Source organism: Homo sapiens, chromosome 2 (genome assembly GCF_000001405.40).
Source record: "Homo sapiens chromosome 2, GRCh38.p14 Primary Assembly".
Lineage (NCBI taxonomy): Eukaryota > Metazoa > Chordata > Mammalia > Primates > Hominidae > Homo > Homo sapiens.
The window spans coordinates 153,538,622-153,565,735 of NC_000002.12; the positions used below are offsets into that span (position 1 = coordinate 153,538,622).

The following is a 27,114-nucleotide window of genomic DNA, read 5'->3' on the forward strand; positions in this document are numbered from 1 at the left end:
ATGAGTGAGAATATGCAGTGTTTGGTTTTTTGTTCTTGCGATAGTTTACTGAGAATGATGATTTCCAATTTCATCCATGTCCCTACAAAGGACATGAACTCATCATTTTTTATGGCTGCATAGTATTCCATGGTGTATATGTGCCACATTTTCTTAATCCAGTCTATCATTGTTGGACATTTGGGTTGGTTCCAAGTCTTTGCTATTGTGAATAATGCCGCAATAAACATACGTGTGCATGTGTCTTTATAGCAGCATGATTTATAGTCCTTTGGGTATATACCCAGTAATGGGATGGCTGGGTCAAATGGTATTTCTAGTTCTAGATCCCTGAGGAATCGCCACACTGACTTCCACAATGGTTGAACTAGTTTACAGTCCCACCAACAGTGTAAAAGTGTTCCTATTTCTCCACATCCTCTCCAGCACCTGTTGTTTCCTGACTTTTTAATGATTGCCATTCTAACTGGTGTGAGATGGTATCTCATTGTGGTTTTGATTTGCATTTCTCTGATGGCCAGTGATGATGAGCATTTTTCCATGTGTTTTTTGGCTGCATAAATATCTTCTTTTGAGAAGTGTCTGTTCATGTCCTTTGCCCAGTTTCTGATGGGGTTGTTTGTTTTTTTCTTGTAAATTTGTTTGAGTTCATTGTAGATTCTGGACATTAGCCCTTTGTCAGATGAGTAGGTTGCGAAAATTTTCTCCCATTCTGTAGGTTGCCTGTTCACTCTGATGGTAGTTTCTTTTGCTGTGCAGAAGCTCTTTAGTTTAATTAGATCCCATTTGTCAACTTTGTCTTTTGTTGCTATTGCTTTTGGTGTTTTAGACATGAAGTCCTTGCCCATGCCTATGTCCTCAATGGTAATGCCTAGGTTTTCTTCTAGGGTGTTTATGGTTTTAGGTCTAACGTTTAAGTCTTTAATCCATCTTGAATTGATTTTTGTATAAAGTGTAAGGAAGGGATCCAGTTTCAGCTTTCTACATATGGCTAGCCAGTTTTCCCAGCACCATTTATTAAATAGGGAATCCTTTCCCCATTGCTTGTTTTTCTCAGGTTTGTCAAAGATCAGATAGTTGTAGATATGCGGCGTTATTTCTGAGGGCTCTGTTCTATTCCATTGATCTGTATCTCTGTTTTGGTACCAGTACCATGCTGTTTTGGTTACTGTAGCCTTGTAGTATAGTTTGAAGTCAGGTAGTGTGATGCCTCCAGCTTTGTTCTTTTGGCTTAGGATTGTCAGGCAGAAGAAATTTCTAAGCAGCAAAGCATTTAAGAGGTGACCGAGCATAAAAGTTTGGAAAATGTGCAGCCTGACAATATGGTAGAAAAGAAAAACCCATTTTCTGGGGAGAAATTCAAGCCAGCTGCAGAAACGTGCACAAGTAATGAGGAGCCAAATGTTAATTGCCAAGACAATGTGGAAAATGTCTCCAGGATATGTCAGGGACCTTTATGGCAGCCTCTCCCATCAGAGGCCTGAAGGCCTACGAGGAATAAATCGGTTCTGTGGGCCTGGTCCAGGGCCCCCCTGCTGTGTGCAGCCTAGAGACTTGGTGTCCTGCATTCTGGCCACTTCAGCCATGTCTAAAAGGGGCCAAGGTACAGCTCAGTCCATGGCTTCAGAGGGTACAAGTCCCAAGCCTTGGCAGCTTCCATATGGTATTGGTCCTGCAGGTGCATAGAAGACAAGAGTTGATGTTTGGAAACCTCTGCCTAGAATTCAGAGGATGTATGGAAACATCTGGATGTCCAGGCAGAAGTTTGCTGCAGGGGTGAAGTCCTCATGGAGAACCTCTACTAGGGCAATGAAGAGGGGAAATGTGGGGTTGGAGCTCCCACACAGAGTCCCCACTGGGGCACTGCCTAGCAGAGCTGTGAGGAGAGGGCCACCATCCTCCAGACCCCAGAGTGGTAAATCCACTGACAGCTTGCACTATGTACCTGGAACAGCCACAGGTACTAAACAGCAGCCAATGAAAGCAGCCCCCGGGCCTGTATCCTACTGAGCCGCAGGGGCAGAACTGCCCAAGTCCATGGGAGCCCACCTCCTGCAACAGTGTGACCTGGATGTGAGACATGGAATCAAAGCAGATTTTGAAGCTTTAAGATTTAATGACTGCCCCGCTGGGTTTCAAACTTGCATGAGGCCTTTGGTTCTTTTGTTGTGACCAATTTCTCCCATTTGGAATGTGTGTATTTACCCAATATCTGTACCCCCATTGTATCTAGAAAGTAAGTAACTTGCTTTCTATTTTACAGGCTTATAGGCAGAAGGGACTTGCCTTGTCTCAGATGAGACTTTGGACTTGGACTTTTGGCTTAATGTTGGTATGAGCTAAGACTTTGGGGGACTGTTGGAAAGGCATGATTTTGTTTTGAAATGTGAGGACATGAGATTTGAGAGGGGCCAGGGGTGGAATGATATGGTTTGGCTGTGTCCCTGCCCAAATCTTATCTTGAATTGTAGCTCCTATAATCCCCAGGTGTTGTGGGAGGGACCCAGTGGGAGGTGATTAGATCATAGGTGTTGTTCCCCCACCCTGTTATCATGATAGAGAGTGAATTCTCATGAGATCTGATGGTTGTATAAGGGGCTTTTCCCTCCTTTGCTCTGCACTTCTCCTTCCTGCCACCATGTGAAGGAAGGATGTGTTTGCTTCCTCTTCTGCCATGATTGTAAGTTTCCTGAGGCTTCCCTAATCCTGCTGACCTGTGAGTCAATCAAATCTCTTTCCTTTATAAATTACCGAGTCTCAGACAGTTCTTTATAGCAGGGTGAGAATGGACTAATCGACTGACTTTCTCTTGCCCTCCTGTCTCTCATTTCTCTTCTTTCTCAAGGCACCATAGAAACTAGAATCCTTCTTCTCCAGTGTGGGTCATAGAAACCAGAACACCTTTCCCCAAAGCCAGTCATAAAACCTACAATTATTACTCTAACCTTCTCCCCTGCGTTTCTGTGTAAAAACTGGTCATAAATAAATTATCTGATCTACCTTGTTTGATTGTAGGCCATAAGACCTTCATTCCAGAGGGTGTCCTGGCTTAACCTCAGAAAGGAGGGGAATACATGCTTAGAGAAAACAGGAAGAATCTAGCTGGACAGGGCTTGCTTGGTTTCCCCACTCAGTTATTAGCATTAGCTTTTTTGTTCAACGTATTTCTATACAGTTGCCCATAGTTTGTTGAACATAAGCATAAAAATGGACAATTTCCCCTGTATCTTTGGGCCTTCATTCTGAAAGCTCTTGTGTTATATGAAACTATGATCAAATACATTTCTATGCCTTTTCTCCTATCCATCTGCCTCTAGTCAGTAATTTTTAAATGAACCTTCAAAGGGTGAAGGGGATATTTTCTCTTGGCCCTGACAAGTTGCAAACGAATACTAGAGCTGAACAGTAATTAAAGGCCGGGTACAGTGGCTCACCCCTGTAAACCCAGCATTTTGGGAGGCTGAGGCGGGTGGAACACCTGATGTCAGGAGTTCAAGACCAGTCTGGCCAACATGTTGAAACCCCATCTCTACTAAAAATACAAAAAAATTAGCCAGTCGTGGTGGCACAGGTCTGTAATCCCAGCTACTTGGGAGGCTGAGGCAGGAGAATCACTTGAACCCAGGAGGTGGAGGTTGCAGTGAGCTGAGATCATGCCATTGCACTCCAACCTGGGCAATAAGAGCAAAACTCCATCTCAAAAAACAAACAAACAAACAAACAAACACACACACACACAAAAAAAAAACCGGAAGTAGAAGCACATTTTATTCAGGACTATTGCAATAGGAGAAAAGAGATTTAAGTATAGAATGGGTCTCAGTTCTGAATACAGCTTGAGCAACTAGGAATTTATAGCAAGGGGCCAAGTTGGGGATCAGTAGATGGAAAATTATGAAGAGGAAACATCAGGGGTAAGGAATATTTTGATTAAACTGAACTAACAGGATTCTTGCTGAAGACAGGCCAGGGTGATCAGACATCACTTGAGGGATGGTAGAGGATGAAGAACCCAACTAGCTATTGAGGGTGATCAGATATGAAGGATGGGGGATTCTGGCTAAACAACCCTATCAAGGTTTTTGTTGAAAACTGAAACTTGCAAGAAGTTGCATAGCTAGGCCTAGGAGAAGTTTCAGGAATCTGACAAAAGTTTGGTCAAGCAAAGAATCTTTGTCAAGACCAACAGATTTGGTGAGCATGAATTCGACTTCTACCCCATTGCTTGTGGAGGCAGTCATATATATTTTATATATGCTATATCTCATCAATAAAAGTACACATCTAATAAAATTTTGAGCATGTAACCAACTTTACATGTATTTATAATGACTTATATGATTTTGTGTGCAATGCATATTATAAATAGAAATTTTAAAAGGCTGAGATAAAAATATATCTGTAAATAGAAGTTTTGATAATTTCTTTCCACGCCCCATTGATTGCCTTGGAAGCTGCAATTTGGAAGCCTCTGCTTTAAAACAAGTTTGTAGATGAGGTTGCCCAGAAATAATCTGTTGAGTGGAAATACTATAAGGTTGGAGGTGAATGCTTGGCAATACCCATATATAAGATTGGTTGAACAGTTGAACAGAGGAAATGGAGACCACAAAGGAGACTGAGAAGGAATGGCCAGAGAAGAATCATCTCACAGAAGCTGAAGGAAGACAATAATTCTTGTGTTTATTGTACCTGCCTACATCTTACTGTTGAGTGCATGCCCTGTGACCAGCCCATTTAGAAGAGCTAGAGACTCAGTGAAAAATAAGATGCTATCTTTCTCTAGAAGTAGCAAAAATAAATTTATAATTATATTACAAGGTCATAAACCTTTATTAAAGCATTTGTGATCTTGTAATGTAAATTATATAAATTGATAATTATACATAAGAACACATTCTGCATTCTTAATGGAGTGTGTGTTTATACATGTTAGGGAGATGGAATGCTTCAGAAAGTTTCTCAGAAGAGGTGGTGGCTGAACTGAGCCTTTTTTTCTTGGTTGAGCAGGAGTTAGGTAGAGAAAGCTTAAGAAAACTCAATAAATGCCTGTGACTCAGATCTTCTGGGAAAACAAAATTGTCAAAACAGTACAAGAAACCGTCTTCCTGCTATAGGTCACCTTACGAATACATGCAACTACTGACTCATTTATATTCCTGAGGGGTATTACATTATTGCAAATTGTTACTGATAACAGTACTCACATTTAAATGAGAACTTTTAAATACCTTTCTCTATTTATAGCAGGAAAGTAGTTCCCCACTTCTGCTCCCTGGAGGCGTTCATTAGAAGTGTAATGAAGCAGGCAAACAGGTGCTTTTTATGTGCCGTTTATAAAGGGCTGCAGCAGTGCTCCTACCATCCCTTCAGATTCCAACTGGGAGCACACGTCATCAGCTGAGCTAATAGCTCACAGCAGGGACCTTTCCTGTGCTCCACATAAATATTCAGAGTTTTATCTTCCTCTGCCTGGTGATCGATCATCAGCACAACGTACAGAGAAAGATGGAAAAAATAAATACAGAAATGTATGATTTCTGGGTCATAAATCCAAATAAGTTTTGGCATAGTAAGATTTAAGAAATAAACACTGAATATACGGTTGCTGCATGAGTTATAAAACCTCTGCTGATTGTTATTATTAACAATTTCCCTAAATCCTCAATATCCAAGGAAAAATAATTCTATCCAGTGGCCATAACTTTCTTCCGTTGCTTCTTGATCTCTCCTTGCTAACAACTCATGTCTGTGGGAACTGGTAACATTTACAACCATTCTTAACAGGTTGATCATAATACAAGCATTGCATGATGTCTTTGTTCCTTTCACTTGTCAGGAATTTAATGTTTTAATTACTTGAATACTTGAACACATGTCAATTTGGTATATTATTTCCTTCTATCATCCACAAAGTGGAGAATCAATTTAATTCTTAAAAGATCACTTACAAAATGATCTGAATGAGGCAAATTGAGGAAAACTAAGAAAAATTTTTGTCCAATTTAGGTAGGAACCCATGATTCAGGTAAGATTTCTCTATTTATTTAGAATTGACTTGGAAAACTATTTTTAACAATTTCTAATATGATACAAGAATACAGTGTTCTGTAGCTGAGAACTCAATGTTTTAATCATGGTAGAGATTATATAATACTGAAGTATGTAGTTATTTTTAAATGGTCAGCAATTGTTACCTCTTTGCAGAAAAGGAATGGAATCTTAAGTTAACAAAATCGGTTATAATCATTTTAAGTATGGTAAAATAAAGCCATGACAGATAGAATGCAAACATTGAGGGATATCCTCTTCCAACAGCTTAAGAGCAAACATTCGTAAGGGAGGGGTAGAAATGAAAAGAGGTCTTGGAGTTGGATCAATGTTCTCTGAATAAGGACTAGTAGTGAGTGAAATAGCATAAAATCAGATTATAATTTTTCTCCTAATTTTAGGATTATGATTTGGCTTTGAGTAGCAAAGACTCAGAAAAAAAAAAGGAGCGCTTAACCCAGTTAGATGTCTGTGTCTCTTTCTCTTAAGTCTGGTGGTGGCAGTCCACAGCCGGTGAGGTGAAAACTTAATTTGTTAAGCTCCTGCTCAGCCATTTCTGAGATATGGCCCTTCTTCTCAAGGTTCAAGATAACAATATCTGGAGCTCCAGATTTTACTTCCGTGTTCTCCATAGCAGAAGGAAAGAGCAAGGAGAATGAGGCAGAGGATGTGTACTGCTGCCACACATGTTGATTCCATGTACACATCTTAGCCACGACTCAGTCACACAGCATACTCAGTTGCAAGACTGTTGGAGAAAATGCCTGCTTTGTCTTGGTCCACAGCTAAAAGTTGAGAGTTCTATTGTTATTAAACAAGAGGAGAATGGATATTGGAGGGCAAGCAGCAGTCTGTACCCTGGCTGCTTCTACAGAAGGGATGTGTTAAGTAAGCAGGTCTAGGATGTATGCAGTATGCAAGGCCCAGCAGCCCGAGGGATAGATTCTAGGCTATCAACTTTCCTACCACTTGGTACTCTGGACCCCACTTGGCCACAGGGGTCACCTTGACCCCAGAGAGAGTGTGGGTATAGCAAGGGTTGAGGTTATGCCCCAATATCTAGGGAGAGAGTCATAGTGGGATCTGTCCCAACTCTGGTCTGGCCACACTACAGAAGTCTCTTACCCACCCCCAATCCAGGCACCCAACATGGAGGTTGCAATGCCCCTGGCAAGAGGATATGCCTAGCTCAACTTTTCTGCCCTGGTCAGGGCAAAGTACGTGGATCCAGTGGCTGACAGGAAATGGAACCCAGCTGTAGTCAGGTTCCAGAGCCCTGTAATGTGGGGAGGGCCCTCACCAGCCCTGTGGTTCGGCACATGCCCTCTGAGTATTCCAAGCTGACCTTGGAAGATACTCTCTTCCTCATTCCCACCATCCTGAATCTGGCTATGTTTTTCTCTTCTGGCCAGCTCCTTGCACCCTCAGGAGATAAGCCACAAAATACATAATCTCAATTTTTCAGTGATTCCTAATAAGATCTGAAAATTGCATTTAAAACTGGCATTTCATCAAATAAAGACAAATGATAGTATTCTCGCCAATTTAAAATTGATAAGTAATTATTTGCTTAGAATGAAATTAAATGGAAAACATTAAAACGCTGTGACAAGTTGGAAGAATGATTGAAGAAGAGAGGAAAAAACTTTGTATTTCTGTACTTTTAAAATCATTTTCATCCCCTGGATTCTGAAAAAAGCCTCACATTTTCATTTTGCACTGACTGGGCCCTGCAAATTATGTAGCTGATCTTGTAGGTGTTTTCCTACTGAAATATGAGCATATATTGTATTTGAGACATTGGAGGCAAGTTTGTAAAATTTTATGAAAGGATTAGTTAGAACATCTACCCTTTGTGTGTCCAAGTGTGCCCCGCTTCTTGTCAGGTGTCAGACAAGATTAGATGCTCTACTTCACCTCATTATCTACTTAGTCACTGTCCACAGCCAAGTACGATATCAAGTACAATATTAATGCCAATAAGACTGTGTGCACATCAAGTTTTGTGTTAGCATTAGATGCAAAATACCTTGTCAATAAATCTGTGTGTATATTGCCTCAATAACCACAATGTAATTTTCAGCATGTCTGATACAGATTTATATACTTTTGTTGTATTAAAGAAGTACTGAAGGTCTTCTGTGTTTTCCTAAGTCTTTTTGAATAATTGCCCCCTTTCCTACCTCTGTCTAATTCTGACAATTCCTCTCTATATAAATAGAAAACAATTTCTATTCTGAGAGATGAGATTATATAAATGAATTTATTCTTTGTTTTCCTCTGGCTATGGCCCACCTACTCTGAGTTCTATTTATAAAGCTAGCTTGGCATGTAATTTGGTTGCCTAATGGAATGGAGGTGAATAACAAGTGGTTCCACTGTAAAATAATCATGTACAAGATGGATGAAGTAGAATGTTTGGTTTCAAGAATTTCCTGCACTATTAGTCCTTTGAAAAATACATCTTAACTTTTCTCAATGCATATTTTGTCACCATTGTACTGCATATTTTCAGTTCTTACAAAATGCACCCATGTGCTAGGCCCAAACCGATGTTTCCAGACTATTGTTTTCTAATAAAACAACTGAGAAGATACCTTTTTAGCCACAAACACAGCTCCTTCAAGGTTGTACTATGTCGAAATACTCTGTGATAAGATGGTATTCTAAGGAGTTACTGCTGATGTATAACACAATATTACTTCTATTTTCATTGAAGATAAATTCATCAGTGCCACAGCAAACCAGCCATTAGCATTCATACTACAGGTAAAATCCAAGGCTGAGAAATTGGAAGAGAAATCAGTAAAGATGAAATTTTATTCATTTTCATAAGCCACAGGTAGAGTCTTAATATATAAAATAATTTTCTCATTCAATAAAATTAATGACAGTTTATTATGTACTGATCTAGATAGTGAGGATATACCAGTGACAATGTCAAAAATTCCCACCCTCTTGGAGCTTATGTTCTCATGAATAGGTAAGAACACATGTAATGAGTTAAGTAAGTTTAGAAATTATATAGAGTAGATCTTGTTTTCTTTTTCATGAATTAGATTATGAGGATGTTATTTGCAAATATTACTGGGCAAGATAAGATAGTGTTAAGGAACTTGGGCTCTGAAATTAGGCAAACTGGGGTTTGACTCCTGGCTTTTACTCTTAAAAGCACTTACTCTTGACTTTTGGCAAATAGCTTGAGTTTTGAGCCCTGGTTTTGATATCCATAAGTGGGGCAAAAAGTACTTGATTGCTGTAAAAATGGAAAGAGATAATGCTTGGAAAGCACTTGGCATAGTTCCTGAAATGTAGTTGACATCCAATAATTGCTTTCTGTGTATTATTGGTAATAATATTATTTAATGTCCATATTCTCACAGGAAGATTTTGATTAAATGTCTGAGCCTCCAGCTTTAAATTCTGTAACAGCTCGATGAATTAAGTTTGCTATATGGCATTGCCTTTCAAATTTTTCTGTGCACAAAAGTCCTTGGGGAACTTGTTAAAATGCAAGTTCTTATTCAGTAGATCTGGAGTGGGGCCTGACACCCTGCATTTCTAAGAAGCTCACAGGTGATGCCAGCAATGTTGATCTGCTCCGTGGATCATAATAAAACACCATGCTTTGACAATAGTAAGCAAAATAGTAAGACTTGCCACTACAGGCCAATATTAAGCAAAATGTGTGTCTCCAAACAATAGGGGATGTCAGTTATCTCAACTGATGAGGTATATTAATAAACCAAAAGATATTAAGGGAAATGCTTCGTTTATTGTCAAATATACTTAACGTGAGTAGTAGAGTGTGCAGAGCTTTGAGAGACACCCGAACAGGAGCCACTGTCTTCTGGCTTTTGCTTCCAGTGAATCTTTCTGACCTAACTACCTTAGACTACAGTGATGACTTTAAGCTTTTTGGTATAAAGGCCCCTGACACTTTTCATCTGACCTATGCTACCAGAAACATATACCAAAATTGACTTATTCCAGTCTCTTTATCTGAGTGTATAAAACACATGGTATGGTTCAGTCAGACATGCACATCATGAGAAATCCTGGGTATAATAGTATATCAAGACTCAGCAATCCCACTTCCAAGTGTATACCCATGACAACTGAAAACATATGCTCACGTGAAAACTTGTACACAAATGTTCATAACAGCATGATTCATAACACTCCCGAAGTGGAAATAACCCAAATGTTGATTGAGCAGATTAAAAATTTGGTGTAGTCATACAGTGAAACATTATTCACAGAAATAAAGTACTTATACATGTTATAATATGAACGACCTTTGAAAACATTATGCCAAGTAAAAGAAGCCAGACACAAGAGGCTACATAGTATACGACTTAATTTCTATAAAATGTCCAGAAAAGGGAAATCCATAGAGACACAAAATAGATTAGCGGTTGCCAGGGGTTAAGGAAAGAGGGGAATATGGAGTGACTGATGATGGGTAGGGGTTTCTTTTTGGGGTGATAATGTTCTAAAATTAGATAGTAATGATGTTTGCACAATCACGTGAACATACTAAAAACCACTGAACTGCACACGTTAAAATGGGAATTTCAAAACAAAAGTATATCAAGTGCTCAATGCTTCCGTAGCTTTCAATCTTTACACAAAATACTTGAGAACAGTAAAGTTCCCGTATTATTTAACTGTTTTTTTAAGGAATGCAGTTTTAAAGGATAGGTCAACGGTAGACTGAAATAGAAATAAATTATTTGTGATTCCTCACCTCAAGAGGTAGAGCTTATTTCCTTTCTCCTTGAAACTGAGATGGCCTCATGACTTGCTTTGACCCACAGAATGTGGTAGATTGGATGTGTGAGAGCTCCAAGAGAAATTGTGGCTTGCATTCTCACTTTCTTAGAAAACTGTAGCCATATGATCAAGCATGGTAAGAGGGACCATGGGGGAGTCTCAGCTTCCCTAACCCTCACAGTGTCAGAGGCCAAATACAAGAATGGGCTTAGCAACAAGCTTTTCATGCAGAGCCTAGTATAAATTGCCTACCCATGGGCTCCTGAGAAAATAAATGATTCTATTAAATGACTAAGTTCTGTGGTTGTTGGTTACATAGTAAGGTCCTATTTAGTGGACTAGATGCCATTTCTTAGTGGGATTTTGCTGATGACCATATTAAAAACAAGAAAAAGTAAAATATCTGGCAGCGTCTGACCAGAACTTTCTTCTTGTCTTCTTTATATCCTCCTTTTCATTTCCATCCTTGGTTTTTTGAAGATCTTTCTAGCTTGGTTGTCTTCTGAATTAATAAAAGCCTGACCTCTAAGCTACCGTAGCAATAGCTAAGAGATTTCATGGGATAGGTCCAAATGCACACCTGATCTTGTGCCAAAGAGGAAGATATTGACTGAAAGACATGGAGGTCATTCCTTTCTGCTCCCTGTTTCCTAGAATACCATTTAAGAGCCTGGCTTCACAAGATGGCAGCTATCTAGCAGCAAAGAGATTTCTTATTCTATTATCTGTGTTATTTCCATACATATTTGCATGTTGACATGTAAAAACAATCTTGGTAAATGAATGGTCACTTTTTTTTTTTTTTGGAGACAGTCTCACTCTGTCTTCCAGGCTGGAGTGTAGTGGCACCATCTCGGCTCACTGCAACCTCTGCCTCCCGAGTTCAAGTGATTCTCATGCCTCAGCCTGCTGAGTAGCTGGGATTACAGATGTGCACCGCCACACTCAGCTATTTTTTTTTTTAAGTAGAGATGAGGTTTTGCCATGTTGGCCAGGCTGGTCTCAAACTCCTGGCTTCAAGTGACTCAACTGCTTTGGCCTCCCAAAGTGCTGGGATTATAGACTAGAGCCACCGTGCCCAGGCTTAACTTTTGATTTTGCTGTCACAGTCTGCAGAGCACTGTTCCCTGGCCTTTGTGGCATTCTGTAGGTATCACTGTTCATCACTATTGCTATCACCAACAACAGTCACATCTTGAGTGCCTACTAAGTATAATGAACCATATTTTACATCCAGACTAATCCTCAAATACTTGCCTGTTTGGTAATGCTTAACTTTATACAATAGTGACAATTAGCATTGTATTTGAATATATCTAACAATAATTATTAGATAAGTAAGTTAAATAGTGATTCATTTCATTTAATATTTATTGAATGACTAATAGGTCTTAGCAATTTTCTAGACATTGGTGACACAGCAAAAAATTCCTGCCTTTATAGAGTATATGTTTTAGTGGAGGGACAATAAAAAACTATAGATTATGAGGTATGTCCAACAGTGATAAATACTATGGAGAAAAATTAAGCTGAGGGTGGCTAGAGAGGGCTCTTGGGTAGGATATTACTATTTAAATAGAGAAGTCAAATTGTAATACAAGTCCAAAAAAAAATCATTGACCAACACAGTGGGGGTCTCTGGAGAAAATATTGCCCTTTAAAGCTGTCCTACATCAGGAAAAATTCACTGGGAGTTTACACACCTGCCTTGTTTAGTCATTGGATGTAGGTTATCGCCTAGGGGGAGGTGGCTTTTATGCTTCAGGAAAATCCTGAGAAAGTGACAGTGTGAGACTCTGCTGACCACACTCCTACGTTTGGGCAGCAATTTCTCATGACAGAGGATCTGGATGGGGTATCTTCATGCCTACTACAGGAACCAATAGAGCATTTGGAGCTGAGGAGTGACATGATATGACGGATATTAGACAATCACTCTGGTTGCCGTGTGGTGAATAGACCGTATGGAGACCAGGGCAGAATTGAGGAAGACAAAGGCAACATTAATGGAGACAAAGGCAGAATGAAGGAGACAGGGTAGAAGACTAATACAGAGAAGAGATGATTATGGCTTGGACCAAAGTAGTGGCAATGGTGATAGTAGAAAAGACAAATTCTGACTATTTTAAAGCTTGGACTAACAATTCTTATTGATGAATGTTGGATGTGAGAATAGGAGAGCAATAAATAATAACTTTAAATTTTGTGGGGCTGAGCAACTAAAAATGTTACCATTACTGAGATAAGGAAGTTTGTGAGAGGGATATCAGGAATTTGGTTTGAGATCTGTAAAGTTGTGATGTCCATTCTATGTCAGAGCATAGATGTTTAGTAGATAGTTGGATGTACAAATCTGTAGGTCAGGGCATAATTCTAGGCTACAGATGTAAGTTTTAGAGTCATTAACATACAGATGACAAAAACCTGTATTGACTGAATCATTCAGTTAGTGTAGACAGGAAAGAAGAGTGAACTGAGCCCTGGGACTGCACCATAAGGATTGTGGCGTGAGTAAAATAGCAGTGGAACCTCAAAAGGAGAGGTTGGTATGGTAAGAAAAAAATCTAGGAGAGCTGGGTGTCCTGAGGGCCAAACAAATTGTTTCAAGGAGGAGAAATGCTCAAATGTCACATGTTTCTGGTAGGTTGAGATGATGATCAAAAATTGACCCCTGGATTTAGCAACATGCAGACTATTTGTGGACACTGAAAAGAGAAGTTTCAGTGGAGTGGTGGGCAAATACCTGTTTAAATAGATCGAGGAAAGACTGGGGTTAAAAGGCTTTAGAATAGTGAATGAGACAACTCTTCTGAGGAGATTTGCTATAAAGGGTAAAATAGAAACAGAGCATTAAGGAAGGGAAAAGTGGTTTTAAAAATATGTTGATGAGAATGATCCAGGAGAGAGGAACAAACTGAAGATTCAGAAGAAAGGACAATTGCAAGGACGATGTTCTTGAGCAGGGGAGGAGAGATTGAATCAAATGCACAATGTGGACATAGAGAGTAGCCCTGCTAATTCCACCTTAATGTGAGGAGGGTAGTTAGGGTTTACAAACATAGATGCAGGTAGGTGAGTAATTGTGGAATGAGACTGGTGAAGGTTGTCTTCTGCCTGCTTCTTCTTCTTTTTTTTTTTTTTTTTTTTTTTTTGGCAGCACAACTGGAATCAAAGGCATCATTGACAATTAGGAAAATGGGAAGGATGTGTTGGCAGTTGATAAAAGAAGCAATGGTATGAAATTGTTTTCTAGAACAGTGGTCCCCAACCTTTTTGGTACCAGGGACCAGTTTCATGGAAGACAAGTTTTTTTAAAAGATGGTGGTTGGGGGGATGGTTTTTGGATGAAACTGTTCCATCTCAGATCATCAGGCATTAGATTCTCATAAGGAGTGTGCAACCTAGATCCTTTGCATACACAGTTCACAACAGGGTTCCCCCTCCTATGAGAACCTAATGCTGCCGCTGATCTGACAGGAGGTGGAAGCTCAGGCAGTAATGCTTGCTTACCTGCAGCTCACCTCCTGCTGTGTGACCCTCTTCCTAACAGACCACAGACTGGTATCAGTATGTGGCTGGTGGGTTGGGGACCCCTTTTCTAGAACATAGAGAAACTATGGTTGAATAATTGTTGAACTGGAGTTATTAAAAAGAGTGAACTAGAAAAATAAACAGTGGTCACTGAGTAGGATGTCAGAAACTAAGATATGGAGTGGATATGTTTATTGGTAATACCAAATCTAGCTCATCATGAAATTAGATGTTGTATGAAATTAGATGTTGGCCACATGTGTAATCCCAGTCCTTTGGGAGGTTGAGGCATGTGGGTTATTTGAGCCTAGGAGTTTGCGACCAGCCTGGGCAACATGGTGAAACTCCATCTCTACAGAAAAAAAAAATAGCTGAGTGTGGTGGCCTGTGCCTGTGCCTGTAGTCCCAGCTACTCAGGAGGCTGAGGTGGGAGGATTGCTTGAGCCTGGGAGGTCAAGGCTGCAGTGAGCCATGATTGCACCACTGCACTCCAGCCTGGATGACAGAGTGAGACGCTGTCTCAAAACAACATGGTTGTAAGATTATTGGATGAGAGCAGGTCAATGAATGATTGAACCATTGGATCCATGTTAAAATCATCAAGAAATATGATAAGAATGTTTCCAAGAAAGAATATTCCTATGGTAGAGTTTAAAGATATAAAATTAAAAACTGTGGGTTTTAGAGAGTAGAAAGTGAAAAGGTCTAGAAATGGTGATCAGGAGCCAGCATGACAACTCCCCATTTCCAGGAACGAGGGAACCAGGGCTGTGAGGATGAAGAAGCAACACTTGAGGGGGCTCAGGTGAAGCAGTCTTCAGGAGAGAAATAGACTTCAGACAGAGCGGGCAGCTGAAGGGAGTTTCCAAAGATGCTGAGGCTACAGGGGCTCTGCGGAGGATGGACTGCAAATTCCTCAGACAGCTTTGAGTCTCCACATGCTTCTCATGTTGGAGGGTGGTTGTGTGGATGTGAGTCCTGGGGATGAGGTTCCCCTGAGTATCTTGAGTGTCTTGTGTTTGGCACAAACTGGGATACAGGAATAAAGATAACTAGCTGCTGTATATTGTAAGAACAAGTTTGCCCCAGCTCTTTGGGAGGCCAAGGTGGGCGGATCACGAGGTCAGGAGATTGAGACCATCCTGGCTAACACGGTGAAACCCTGTCTCTACTAAAAATACAAAAAAAAAAAAAAAAATTAGCCAGGCGTGGTGATGGGTGCCTGTAGTCCCAGCTACTGGGGAGGCTGAGGCAGGAGGCAGGAGAATGGCGTGAACCCAGGAGGTGGAGCTTGCAGTGAGCCGAGATCGTGCCACTGCACTCCAGCCTGGGTGACAGAGTGAGACTCTGTGTCAAAAACAAAAAAAAAAAGTTTGCAAATTCTAAGTTTTGTGATAAAAGGAAACAAAACTTGGTCAGTTGCCTTAGATAGGGCATTTGGTATTATACAAATGAGAAAGCCAGTAGTGACAGAAATATTTAGGTCTGATTGTGTCATGCAGTTTCATCTCTCCTTAACTCAGCATTTTTCTGATGAATTTTTTCAAAGTATATTTGAAAGAAATGCATCTGGAATTTAAACCAGTTTCTTAAGTTGTAGACCAAGCACTGTTGAACCAAATATTAGTGTCTCAGAAAAGGTCTGTTACCAAATCCAGAAACCCGGGATGCTGTATATGTGTGTGTGTGTGTGTGTGTGTGTGTCTGTGTACGCGCACATAAGTGTGCCACACAAACTTTGTACCTTCATTGTCTTTTTTGTGTGCCTTATTGGAGAACTGAAGTGACAATCATTTTTCACCCTATGTTAATGCCTAATTTAAGTCGGATCCTCCTAATATACTCACATACGCCCTTTGCTTTCTTTTTATATCCTTTTAAAAATATATGAAAATTATTGTATGTGTACGAGAGAAAATTTTTTTAGTGAAATATCTGCTTTGTTATTAGAATGCAAACTCTGTTAGAGCAGGTAGATAGAGATTGGTCTGTATCCCCAGGCCTAATATATCACCTAGCACATAATAGACACTCAAAACTATTTTGTTGGATAAATGAAAAAAATTTAACTCTGTAGTACCTTTTAAAAAATAATTCATTTTATGTTTCTATAACTTGTATGAGTGGAGTAGAGAGAAACCTTCATTGTCTCCCCCAGTAATTTAGTATAATTTTGGTTAGAATTTTGTTAATGTGAAACAGAAGCTTTACTTTTTTTTTTTTTTTTTTTTTTGAGACGGAGTCTTGCTCTGTCACCCAGGCTGGAGTGCAGTGGCGCGATCTCGGCTCACTGCAAGCTCCGCCTCCCGGGTTCACGCCATTCTCCTGCCTCAGCCTCCCGAGTAGCTGGGACTACAGGCGCCCGCTACCACGCCCGGCTAATTTTTTGTATTTTTAGTAGAGACGGGGTTTCACCGTGTTAGCCAGGATGGTCTCGATCTCCTGACCTCGTGATCCGCCCGCCTCGGCCTCCCAAAGTGCTGGGATTACAGGCGTGAGCCACCGCGCCCGGCCCAGAAGCTTTACTTTTAAATAAAAATAAAAATAGTTATAAAAGCCTGGATAAGTGTTATGGGCTAGGCATTATTCTAACAACTTGTAGTGATTAATTTCATTCTCACTACTATCTTGTGAGGTGGTTACCCTTATCCCATTTTACACATGGGGAGACTGAAACATAAAATATTAAGAGTCATGCACTTGAAATGTGGCAGAGTTGAACATCTAAATCCAGCCTGTCTGGACCCAGAGTCCATGCTCTTAATTGCTGTGTTACACTGCTTCTGAATGATTGTTTGTAAGATCCGATCTTTTTAAAATTTGTAACTTAGCCTATTAAAGTATTGAAAGTAAAGGAGAAAGATGACATTACAGAAGATTATAAGAAGATTATTAGCAAATAACTTATTTCAGCTTTCATTAATTTGATACATTAAACACAGCATCATGCTTTTGCCTAAAGCTCGGGAAAAAATGTGTTATGAAAGGACAAATGCCACTATAAATTTTTATTATAATGGTTGCAAATGGATGATCATTTTTTTCTCATCCTAATATCTCTTTCTGCAATTATAGCAAAATAACTTTTTTCAGTCAAGTGCTTTCAGGCATCTTTAATATTTTTCATTCATTTTTCTTTTTTCATAGATGGTGATGCTTGAAATTACATAATGACTTCCACTTTTTCAAAATTAGACCTTGTAGGAATAAAGAATTACATATGATAGCCCAGTGAAATAATTTGTATCATATTTAAAGGTTGGGCTATTTTAAAAGAAAAAAAATGCCAGTAAGATGCAGTTTAAATTAAGAGAAATTTTGTGTATCATTTATGTGTTTATTTCCACTTCAGTCTATAAACTTTACATCCTTTACACATCAGAAAAAAATCTTTAAAATTAAAAACTGATATTCTATGTTCAGAGACTATTAAACATATCTTTAAGTAAATTTTATTTTCATATACTTTTATAAATTTTCTGTTGACGATATAATACTTTAGAAAAAGATTTCCTTACTAATTCTTAGCACATCAGCTATTTCCACAATTTGCTGGCTTCATCTTTTGCTACCCAAAGGTACAACACGTAATGAAATTGTTCGACTATCCTAAATTATCTTCTTTTTCAAGCCATATTCTGAAAACTCAAATGTCTTCAAAGCCAGCAGGTAATACAAGTGTGTTAAGTAGCCTGGTAGAAAAGAGGGAAAACTGTTTAACTGGAAAATGCAGGCCATACCTAAATATTCTTAAATTCAAAACATTTGTCTGGTCACAAACACTCAACCTTCCCTGTTAGCTTAATGCAGACTGAGGCCCTGTTCTCTGCTGGATTCAACCTGAAGTCCTTTAGGAAATCCCATCTACTTCACTGGCCTTATATCATCTGGCTAAGGACTTCCATATTTCTATAACTTTCTTTGTGCTACATATTTTTACATTTATCTGCCCACCTAACATTTCCAATAAGATATCCTAAATTCAGTGTATCTTAGGCCAAGCATCTCTTTCAAATCTAGTTTACTTTGAATGTTCCCCATCCCCACAAATTTGACCCCCCCTTCCATTAAATTACAGTCATGCACCACATAATGACATTTCCATCATCAGCAGCAGAGCATATATATGATGGTGGTCCCATAAGATTGTAATACTGCATTTTTTGCTCTACCTTTTCTATGTTTAGATGTGTTTAGATACACAGATACTTAGCATTGTGCTACAGCTGCCTGCAGTATTCAGTACAGTAACATGTTGTACAGATTTGTAGCCTAGGAGCAGCAGGCCATACCATAAAGCCTAGGTGTGTATTAGGCTATGCCATCTAAGTTTGTGTAACTATACTCTATGATGTTTTCACAAATACGAAATCACCTAACAGTGCATCTGTTTTTAAAGTGACTCATGACTGTACACAAACAAGAAATAAAGGGGTTTCCCTGACAACTCCCTCTGCCTTACCTCACTTCCATCCTCGCCTGTCCCTTAGCTAATCCCTTGCCAAGGCTATGAGTTACAGCTGAACACATCTCAACCTTCTATTCACCTGAGGGTTACCAACATCGTTTCATTTACTATCATTTCTTGCTTGAACATTTGCAACACCAGTTTGCAATCTTTATATCTATTCAGCCTTCCCTACAATCTATTCTTCATACTAAAATAGTGTTCTAAAGACATAAATCATGTCACTCCTCGGCTTAACATCCTTCAATTGGCTGTCAATGGTTTCAATTGCTCTTATAATAAAATTTGAACACCTTAACGTGGCTACAGAGTCTTTAAGATCAGGTCTGCCTCATCCTCAAACTTCATCTAACTTCATTCTCCCTCTGGTCTTTGTACTTATAACCTATCTGACCTCCTTTAGCTGCACCTTTATTCCCACAGTCCCCTCGGCCTGGGAAATTTTTGCTCTACTAACTGTGCCCAGAGTATACCTTTTCTTCCTTCAAGCATCAGATAAGTGGCATTCCCTAGGAAAGCCTTTCTTGACCCTGCCAGACTAGAGAAAGGATTCCTTTGATACAGACACAGGAAGAAACTGTTTCTTTCCTTATCACTATTTATAATTAGTGTTCATCACTGTGACTATGTGGTGAAAGTCTGTCTCCTTCTCTTGACTGGAAGCTCCTTTACAGCAGAGTTTTCTGCTTTTGCTCAGAGATTACATGCATCATAAATATTTTTAAGTGAACAGATGTTTAAATACATTAGAGTATAACCTAACCCTCGGTGCAAACAGCACTCTTCAATTTAGAAAGAGGACAGATACCTAACAAGCATCTGCACTCCTTGGGCATTTACTGTTTGGGGATGCTGTTATCTGTTATTTTCCACTGCTCTGCTTGAGCCTCAGGCCACTCCATATATCCTTAGTGGGCAGGTGTAACTGGGGTTCACTGAGAACAGAGGCAGCAGCAGCTTAAGAAGAGTGGTTCTGTCCTTTGAAATAGCCCCTCCAGCGGTATCCCACATATCTTAGCGATGGCATCATAAATCTCTTTAGCTGATCTCCTCAGTGTGGTTTATAACAGTGGTTTGTACTTTAAGTAGCAAATTGAGCTTTGCTGTCTTCTCCTTTCCAAGGTCCTTTGTAGGCTGACATAAGTCCTTATGTAGTGCTTTTTTTTTTTTAACCAATAATGCTGAGACAGGTGCATGAGTGATCAATTGCTTTCATTCACATAATGACCCTCCCCAAAGGGGAAAATAATTCTACAGCATTCCTGGACATGGATAACTTCCGTTAAAATTTATTGGTTGCATGTTTCTCTGAAAGTGTTCAAATTATGTGCTATAGCTCCACTGAAAAATCATAAACTCTTATGGGTCAGATAATAGTATCTTTCACTTTGTTTCTTTCCAACAGAAAAATGCTGGTTTGTGGACACTGGAAATTTCATAAATACCACTCTCTGGAAAGCCAGGAATAATGGTCAATTGCAAAAATAAGATATGGCAGTTCTTCTGGAAAGTTGGATGCTTGGTGCATAGAAATGTTATTATATTTTGGTGGTGATAAAAATGAATATTAGCAACTCTGAAAATCCAACATGTGTTACCTTGTTTTTTGAGAGTATATTGAAGAAAATTCTAAAGATTATGTTATTTCAGCCATATATACATGAGTATGGACCGCTAATAAAAACATTTATTTTTGTAATATAAGCATCATTATAATAGCTAACAAAATTAACAATGATTACCTAATTCTATGTAATAGCCAGTTTGTATTGAAAGTTTTCTAATTGTCTGAAAGAGTCTTTTTGTAGTTGATTTGAATACGGATTGAAAGAAGATAACACATTGCATTTGACATTTATGTCTCTTAAGTGGCTTTACGTCCTAACGGTCTCCCCTTCTATTTTTCACCATGCCACAGTTTAGTTGAAGAAATTGAATCTTGTAGTCTGTCGAATGTCAGTACCCTGGCTTTGGCTTATTATTTCCTTATAGTATCATTTACCTTGTCTCTCTATCCCCTATATTTCTTGAATAATTATAGTAATGTATATACAGAGAGGACTGGACTGATATCCAGTTCTTTGATAAGACATCCTGATTGTGCTCTGTACTTCCTAGTGTATCACATCAGGAGGCACATAATGTCTGCTTGTTTCACTTCTGTTAATTCTTCAATTGACCAGTGCATTTAAGTAGTATCAGCCTGATCCTTCCATTAAGAGATTTTTATTAACTTTTGACCTGATTAGTTTAAAGTTTATTGGTTATTATCCCTATCTGTTATTTAGAGTTTGGAAAATAGCGATATTCTAATTTCACCATTTTATCTGTACTTGTTTGCTGTAGCTCTTCTGTCAAGAGGAGTTTTATTTGGCTAACTTTTTCAGTAAGAAAAATAGGGTAAGTTTTTTGGATTTTTCTCTTTTCTTAAAAAGATTTGTTTTAAAGATAACAAGTTATATTCTAGCACACGTTAATAGTATCTAATCAATTTTAAAAATATTATTTCTTACAGGTTGTACTATATCAGATGTTTCAACGTATTGCAGTCTCTATGCTCTTTGAAGCTCAATTTCATATAATTTAGGCCAGTAGGAGTCCCATCAAATTGGTTCCTATAGCCTTTAGACATGGTATCCTAGGATCATCTTTTGCATTTTGCACCCCAGACCTGGTATCAGTCATGTCTCCATAAAGTACTGTCCCTTTAGTGGGAAATAATATTTAGAGACCATGATCTGGGCTCTAATGGTATTCTTTACTAGTGGGTTAACATTGTTTCTAGGCCTTTCCAATGGAACAGAGCTAGGAAATATATACATTTTTCAAGGAAAAGTTTTCAAAGGTACATACATGTTTTATATTTGAATGTAAAATTACCAGGTTAATACTTCTATGATTTTTTCTTGTACCTGATTACTTAACGCTAGACGAATAGCGATAGGAATGAACGTGTTTTCCTCTCCCAGGTTAAAAAAAAACATTCATCCATGTTTTCTACTTCTTTTAGAATTTTAATTTTTTATACTTAAATCTTAGACTCATTTGCAATTTATCCTAGTACATGATAGAAAGAATGTATCAAATTCTATACATTTCCACATGCTTATCCAGTTGTTCTGATATAATTTATTAAAGATTTATTTCTCCACTGATTTGAGATGACACTTTTATCATGACTAAATTCTATACATATTTGAGCCTATTTTTGATATTCTACTTATTTTTACTGCTCTTTCAATTTATTAAATAATACTATGCTTTTAATTAGGGAGGCCTTAAAGTATTTTAACATGAGATATGATAGGTCCCCCACCACATGCTCTTCAGCCTTTCTCTTGTTAATTTTTTCATACTTATTCTTTTTTAAAAACTTCATCACCAACTTGTCTTGTTCCAAGGAAGAACATTATGGAATTTTATTTGAATTAATTACATTTACAAAATTAACTTAGAATTAACACCTTTATGTAGTTGAATATTCATATTCAAGCAATACATTTCCATTTGGTCACATATCCTTTGCATCTTTAATGAGTCTTTATATTTTTCCTTATATCTCTTATTGTAGTTTTTAAAGTTTATTGCTGTATAATTTATTACTCTTATTTTATTGTAAATAAAACCTTCCCTTCCATTATATCTTGCTAAGTCTATTGATTTGGAGATGTTAATTATATTTCTAGCCAGTTTACTAAACTCTTATTGTTTGCAGTAGACTTTTATTGATTTTTTTTTGGTTTTCCAGTTATAATATCTCTGCATATGAAGATAATCTTCTTTTCAAATTCTTATGCTATATATATATGAATATGACATATATAAATATACAGGTTGACTATCCCTTTTATGAAATGCTTGGGACCAGAGGTGTTTCAGATTTCATTTTTTTCTGGTTTTAGAATAATGATGTATAGATAATGAGATATCTTGGGAATGGGACCTGAATCTAAACATAAAATCCATTTATGTTTTATGTGCACCTTATACACATAGCCTGAAGGTAATTTTATAAAATATTTCTAATTATTTTGGGCACAAAATAATGTTTTTGATGTGTTTTGACTGTGACCCATCACATGAGGTCAGGTGTGGAATTTCCCACTTGTGGTGTCACATTGGTGCTCAAAAATTTCAGATTTTAGAGCATTTTGCATTTCAGATTTTTGGATTCTGGATTAGAGATGTTCAACCTGTGTGTGTGTGTGTGTGTGTGTGTGTGGTGTGTATTAATCACCACTTAGGTTAGGTAAGACCTCCAATTTATTGTGAAATACAATTGAAGATGCTAGGTACATTTGTTTTGTTATAGACTTTAAAGGTAATGGTGCTAGGGTGTCCTCATTAATTAACTGTTGACTTTTGAATTGGAGTAATACAAATTTTATTTAAAAAATTTCTATTTGTAAATGTTTTCTTCCTAGATCTATTAATGTGTATTTTAGCAACAAATTTCCAAATTTAGAATCAAACATACAGAATAATAATTTCAGCAATTATTCAAGAAACTCTTATTTCTTCTTTACCAATTTTTAGTGTTTCACACTTTTGCCCCTTTTCTTTACCATTCTCCCTCCCTCTCCTCTCTCTCTCTTTCTCTCTCTCTCTCTCTCTGTGTGTGTGTGTGTGTGTGTGTGTGTGTGTGTGTGTGTGTGTGTGGTGTAGGCATGTGGGTGCGTCTGTGGGGAGGCATATAAATATTATTTTTTTCTGAACCATTTGTGAGTAAATTGGAGGTATTATGCTCATTTACTAAAAAAATAGTCCAGTGTGTACTGAAGGCCTGTGCTTTTTTCCTAATAGTTACTTTAAGATACACTTAGTTCGTTTTTTTATCAGTACTATCAACCATCCTTATAATGTAACAATAATAAAATTAGCTAGTAACATTTTCATTCTTTTATCCCTTTCCTCCAGGATTTTATTTGATAGTGACAATCACTTACACCAAATCACACCCTATCGAGGAGTGAACTTGTATAATTCATACACTGTGTCTGTCTTCTTTATTATTTTTGGCTGTAATAGACGTCTTTTGTCAAAAAACACCATGTGTATTCTCTATTTGGTTATGTCATCTCCATTAATTGGTGTTAGCTTTAAATTTACATAAATTCAATTTACTATAGTCATAGTTTTACAGCAAAGTTGCTAAAACTTACCTTGAATTCTTGGTGGGCTTCCTCTCTAATAAATTCTCAGAAAATGGACCTTGTGTTCAATATTCTTGCAAATTTATAACAGTAATTGAAAGTTATTTTGGTTCAATTCAAAATCCTGAGTTCATACTTTTTAAGTATTTGTCTCTGTCATTTTATCTTATGAAGTGTCGCTGTGATGTTTGTTGCCAATGCAATTATCCTTTCCTTTCCTTTACACAAATTTAGTTTTTTTGCCTAGTGCTAAATAATTCTTTCTTTAAGTCCAGTAGTTTTACTAGAAATTGTTTTGGTGTGGCTATTCTGATACTTTTCTCAGTTGCGTGATGTACCTTTGCAAATATGTAGGTTCAAGCCCTTTTAAAAATGTATTGTATGAATTATTACTATTTATGCTGATCATATTTTTTGTCTTCTTAGGATTACCTATTATATCTATGTGTTCCTTCTTTTTTTGTTGTCCAAACTGTTTTTATCTATGTATCTATTTGTGTAATCTCTGTTTATTTTTTCTCCTTGATATCCTTTGTTTTTCTTACCTTACCTTCCATAATATCTCTTCAAGTTTATTCAAGTTGAGCTCTCCTTATTGAATTTTGTTTTCCCTTAAAAAAATTCTGTCCTTAGTTCTGAAAGTTCTATTTTCCAGTATTTCTCTTATTTTATAATCTCATTTTGAGGTTTTTCTTTGGTTAGCACTTTTAATTATTCGCTTTAGTTTTCTTAATTTGCATTTGCTGTTTTCTTATGTTTATGCACTATATTACGGTTTACTTCTAATTTATCATCAGATTTTTTAGTGGATCTTCAGATTTTTGTGTTATTTTCTTCCCATATATTTATATGAGGTTTGGTCACAATTCATTTCTTTTGTACATATTGAGTGATATGGATTTTCTTATACTGTGAGGGGAACAGTTCTGCTGTGTGGAGCGGGTCCGGGTAGTTTCACTACTCGAGAGCTTCCTGTTTTGTTGTAATTATAAAGTATTAATAATATAACTTCTTTGTTTAGCCAGGTCCAAAGTTCTAAGATCTGTTCCCTTGGTACCTCCCCTCATCTACTACCCAGAATATGAAAATTCTTTCTCCTTCACTCTTAGGGTTTTTTTTTTCCTATTAAGCTTACCATTTATTCATAGAAGTTTTCCTCCCCCAATTCAGAGGAGATCTCCATCTTTCCAAAAAATGAGTTTTTGATCAATAATTCCAAAATCTTTCATGGGCTGGCTTAACTAGTGCCCTCGAATATTTTCCCTAGTAGGTCCTCATAGTTTTTTGGCCCTCTCCTTCACATTGGAACCAGTGTATCCTTATTCGATTTTCACAAATTGTTCTTACCTCTGCATGGTTGAGGATTTCAAAATGAGAGTACTCCGCTTTCGTGTGTGAATTTGGTGGGTTACTTATGGTTTCTGGATTTTTGATAGTTTTGATATCAAAGAGTGCTCCTTTCTCTACCCTACCCTATCTTTGTCTTGAACAGGTCATCCTGCTAGTGGTGGAATGACACCACCAACTTCTATTCTCAGAAGTTGATGGGCTATTTCGTCACTAGATTTTTTTGCAGATGTCCATGGATTTTTTATATATATATTTTTTTTACTATTCTTCTTGTTTAATGAAAGCATTGAAGAGATTTTAAAAGTGCATCTATACTTTTCTTCCTGGCATACTACCTGCACTCTCAATTCTATCCTCTCCATTTTCACAATTTGCTGAAAATATTTATACCATACTAAAATTATAGTTATTTTGGCTTTTAAAAGACATAGAGGAGAAGTGTATTTTGATTGTCATTATAAAGAAAACAAAATTTTCATTATGAATTTATAACCCATATAGTAATATTGTCTTGAGAACCGCATTGTTTTGACATCAATACTTTATAAAGAGCTTGTCAATTAAATATGTGAAAACAGCTGATGTGAATATTTAAATGACCCTGTGGAGATAAAATTCAAGTGGGGTCAACATATGAGGATTAGTTTTTTTTTTTTTTGAGTTAAAAACATTATTGTTTCTGATTTATAAAAAACCTCAATGAAGTCTGAACCAAGCCTGAAGGTCATTAGTGTGGTAAATTTAAAGTGGTCTTTGGAAAATAATTCTTACAAAATTACTATCATACAGAGTGGCAGACACATCCTAGCTTGACTCCTTGTGTCGAAAGTCGCTCTCTTCATTAGGTTACATTGTACTGCAAAAGTAATGGAATGTTGTTCCATTGCTTTATACTGTATAAAATTCTGTTTTAGCAGAATAGAGTCAGAGATTCTTCTGTGGGTCCTGAAGAAACAAAGAGCCAAATTGTAAACTGCCTATGGAGCGGGCCGCATGGTAGAAAACTATAGGCAGCCTTAGCGCCTAAGGGTGTCTTCATCAGCCAGGAGGAAATGCATTCTTCTAACAAGCTGAATGGGCTTAGGATGCAGATTTCTACTTCAGTGGGTCTCCAGATGAGGACATGGGAAAGCTGAAGTGGAGTACCCATCTGTCAGTTGTGCCTTGACTACTGACCTACAGAAGCTTGACATTGTAGGTGTGCGTTGTTTTAAGCTGCTAAGTTTTTGGCTATTTATTATGCATCCATAGAAAACAAATACAACATTATAAAGAGAAAGTGAAGGTGCGGGGAGAGGGGAAAGAAGAAAAGGAAGGAAAAACATGTTGAGGCAGGTGCTTTGACTATGTGATCTCAGTAATGGCTGGAATCTTTCAAACTCACAGGCTTTTTTCCAAATACGTTAAAAAATGACATTGTACTTTTAGAATTAACATTTCTGGGTGGTTGGCAAATCTTGTGTGTAATATCTTTTGCTTCCAAATTATCTTTTAGCAAGGCTTTTTGTCTTAAAATCATATGTATATGCGTGTGTGTATGTTTGTGTTTATAGTGTGTGTGTGTGTAGATAAGAGCACACTCCATCTCCTTACTTAATGTCATCCACAAGTTCTTGGAAACTATGACTATAGGCAAGACAATGTGTTATGAAACCATTTTTTTCTCGTAAGTGTTATAAAGAAATAATGTTGGAGAAAATGATGTTATTTGAGGACCTGCTGTTTATAATTTCCCTTAAAGTCACAGTTTCCAAGAATGTATTGATGACATTAAGTGAGGACTTA

The 27,114-nt window shown here is 37.7% G+C and overlaps 1 protein-coding gene across 5 annotated transcripts in view, besides 1 other annotated feature; it reads left to right on the forward strand.

Annotated features, from left to right (window-relative positions):
* GALNT13 (polypeptide N-acetylgalactosaminyltransferase 13) overlaps window positions 1-27,114 on the forward strand; it is a 1,388,282-nt gene that overhangs the window by 470,329 nt on the left and 890,839 nt on the right. The window lies entirely within an intron of this gene.
* Window positions 5,053-5,603: an enhancer, noted in NCBI's record as "NANOG hESC enhancer chr2:154400187-154400737 (GRCh37/hg19 assembly coordinates)". NCBI's record gives its function as "activates a minimal SCP1, AML or CMV promoter by ChIP-STARR-seq in primed H9 embryonic stem cells {active_cell/tissue: H9 hESC(primed)}" and the evidence as "EXISTENCE:reporter gene assay evidence [ECO:0000049][PMID:30033119]".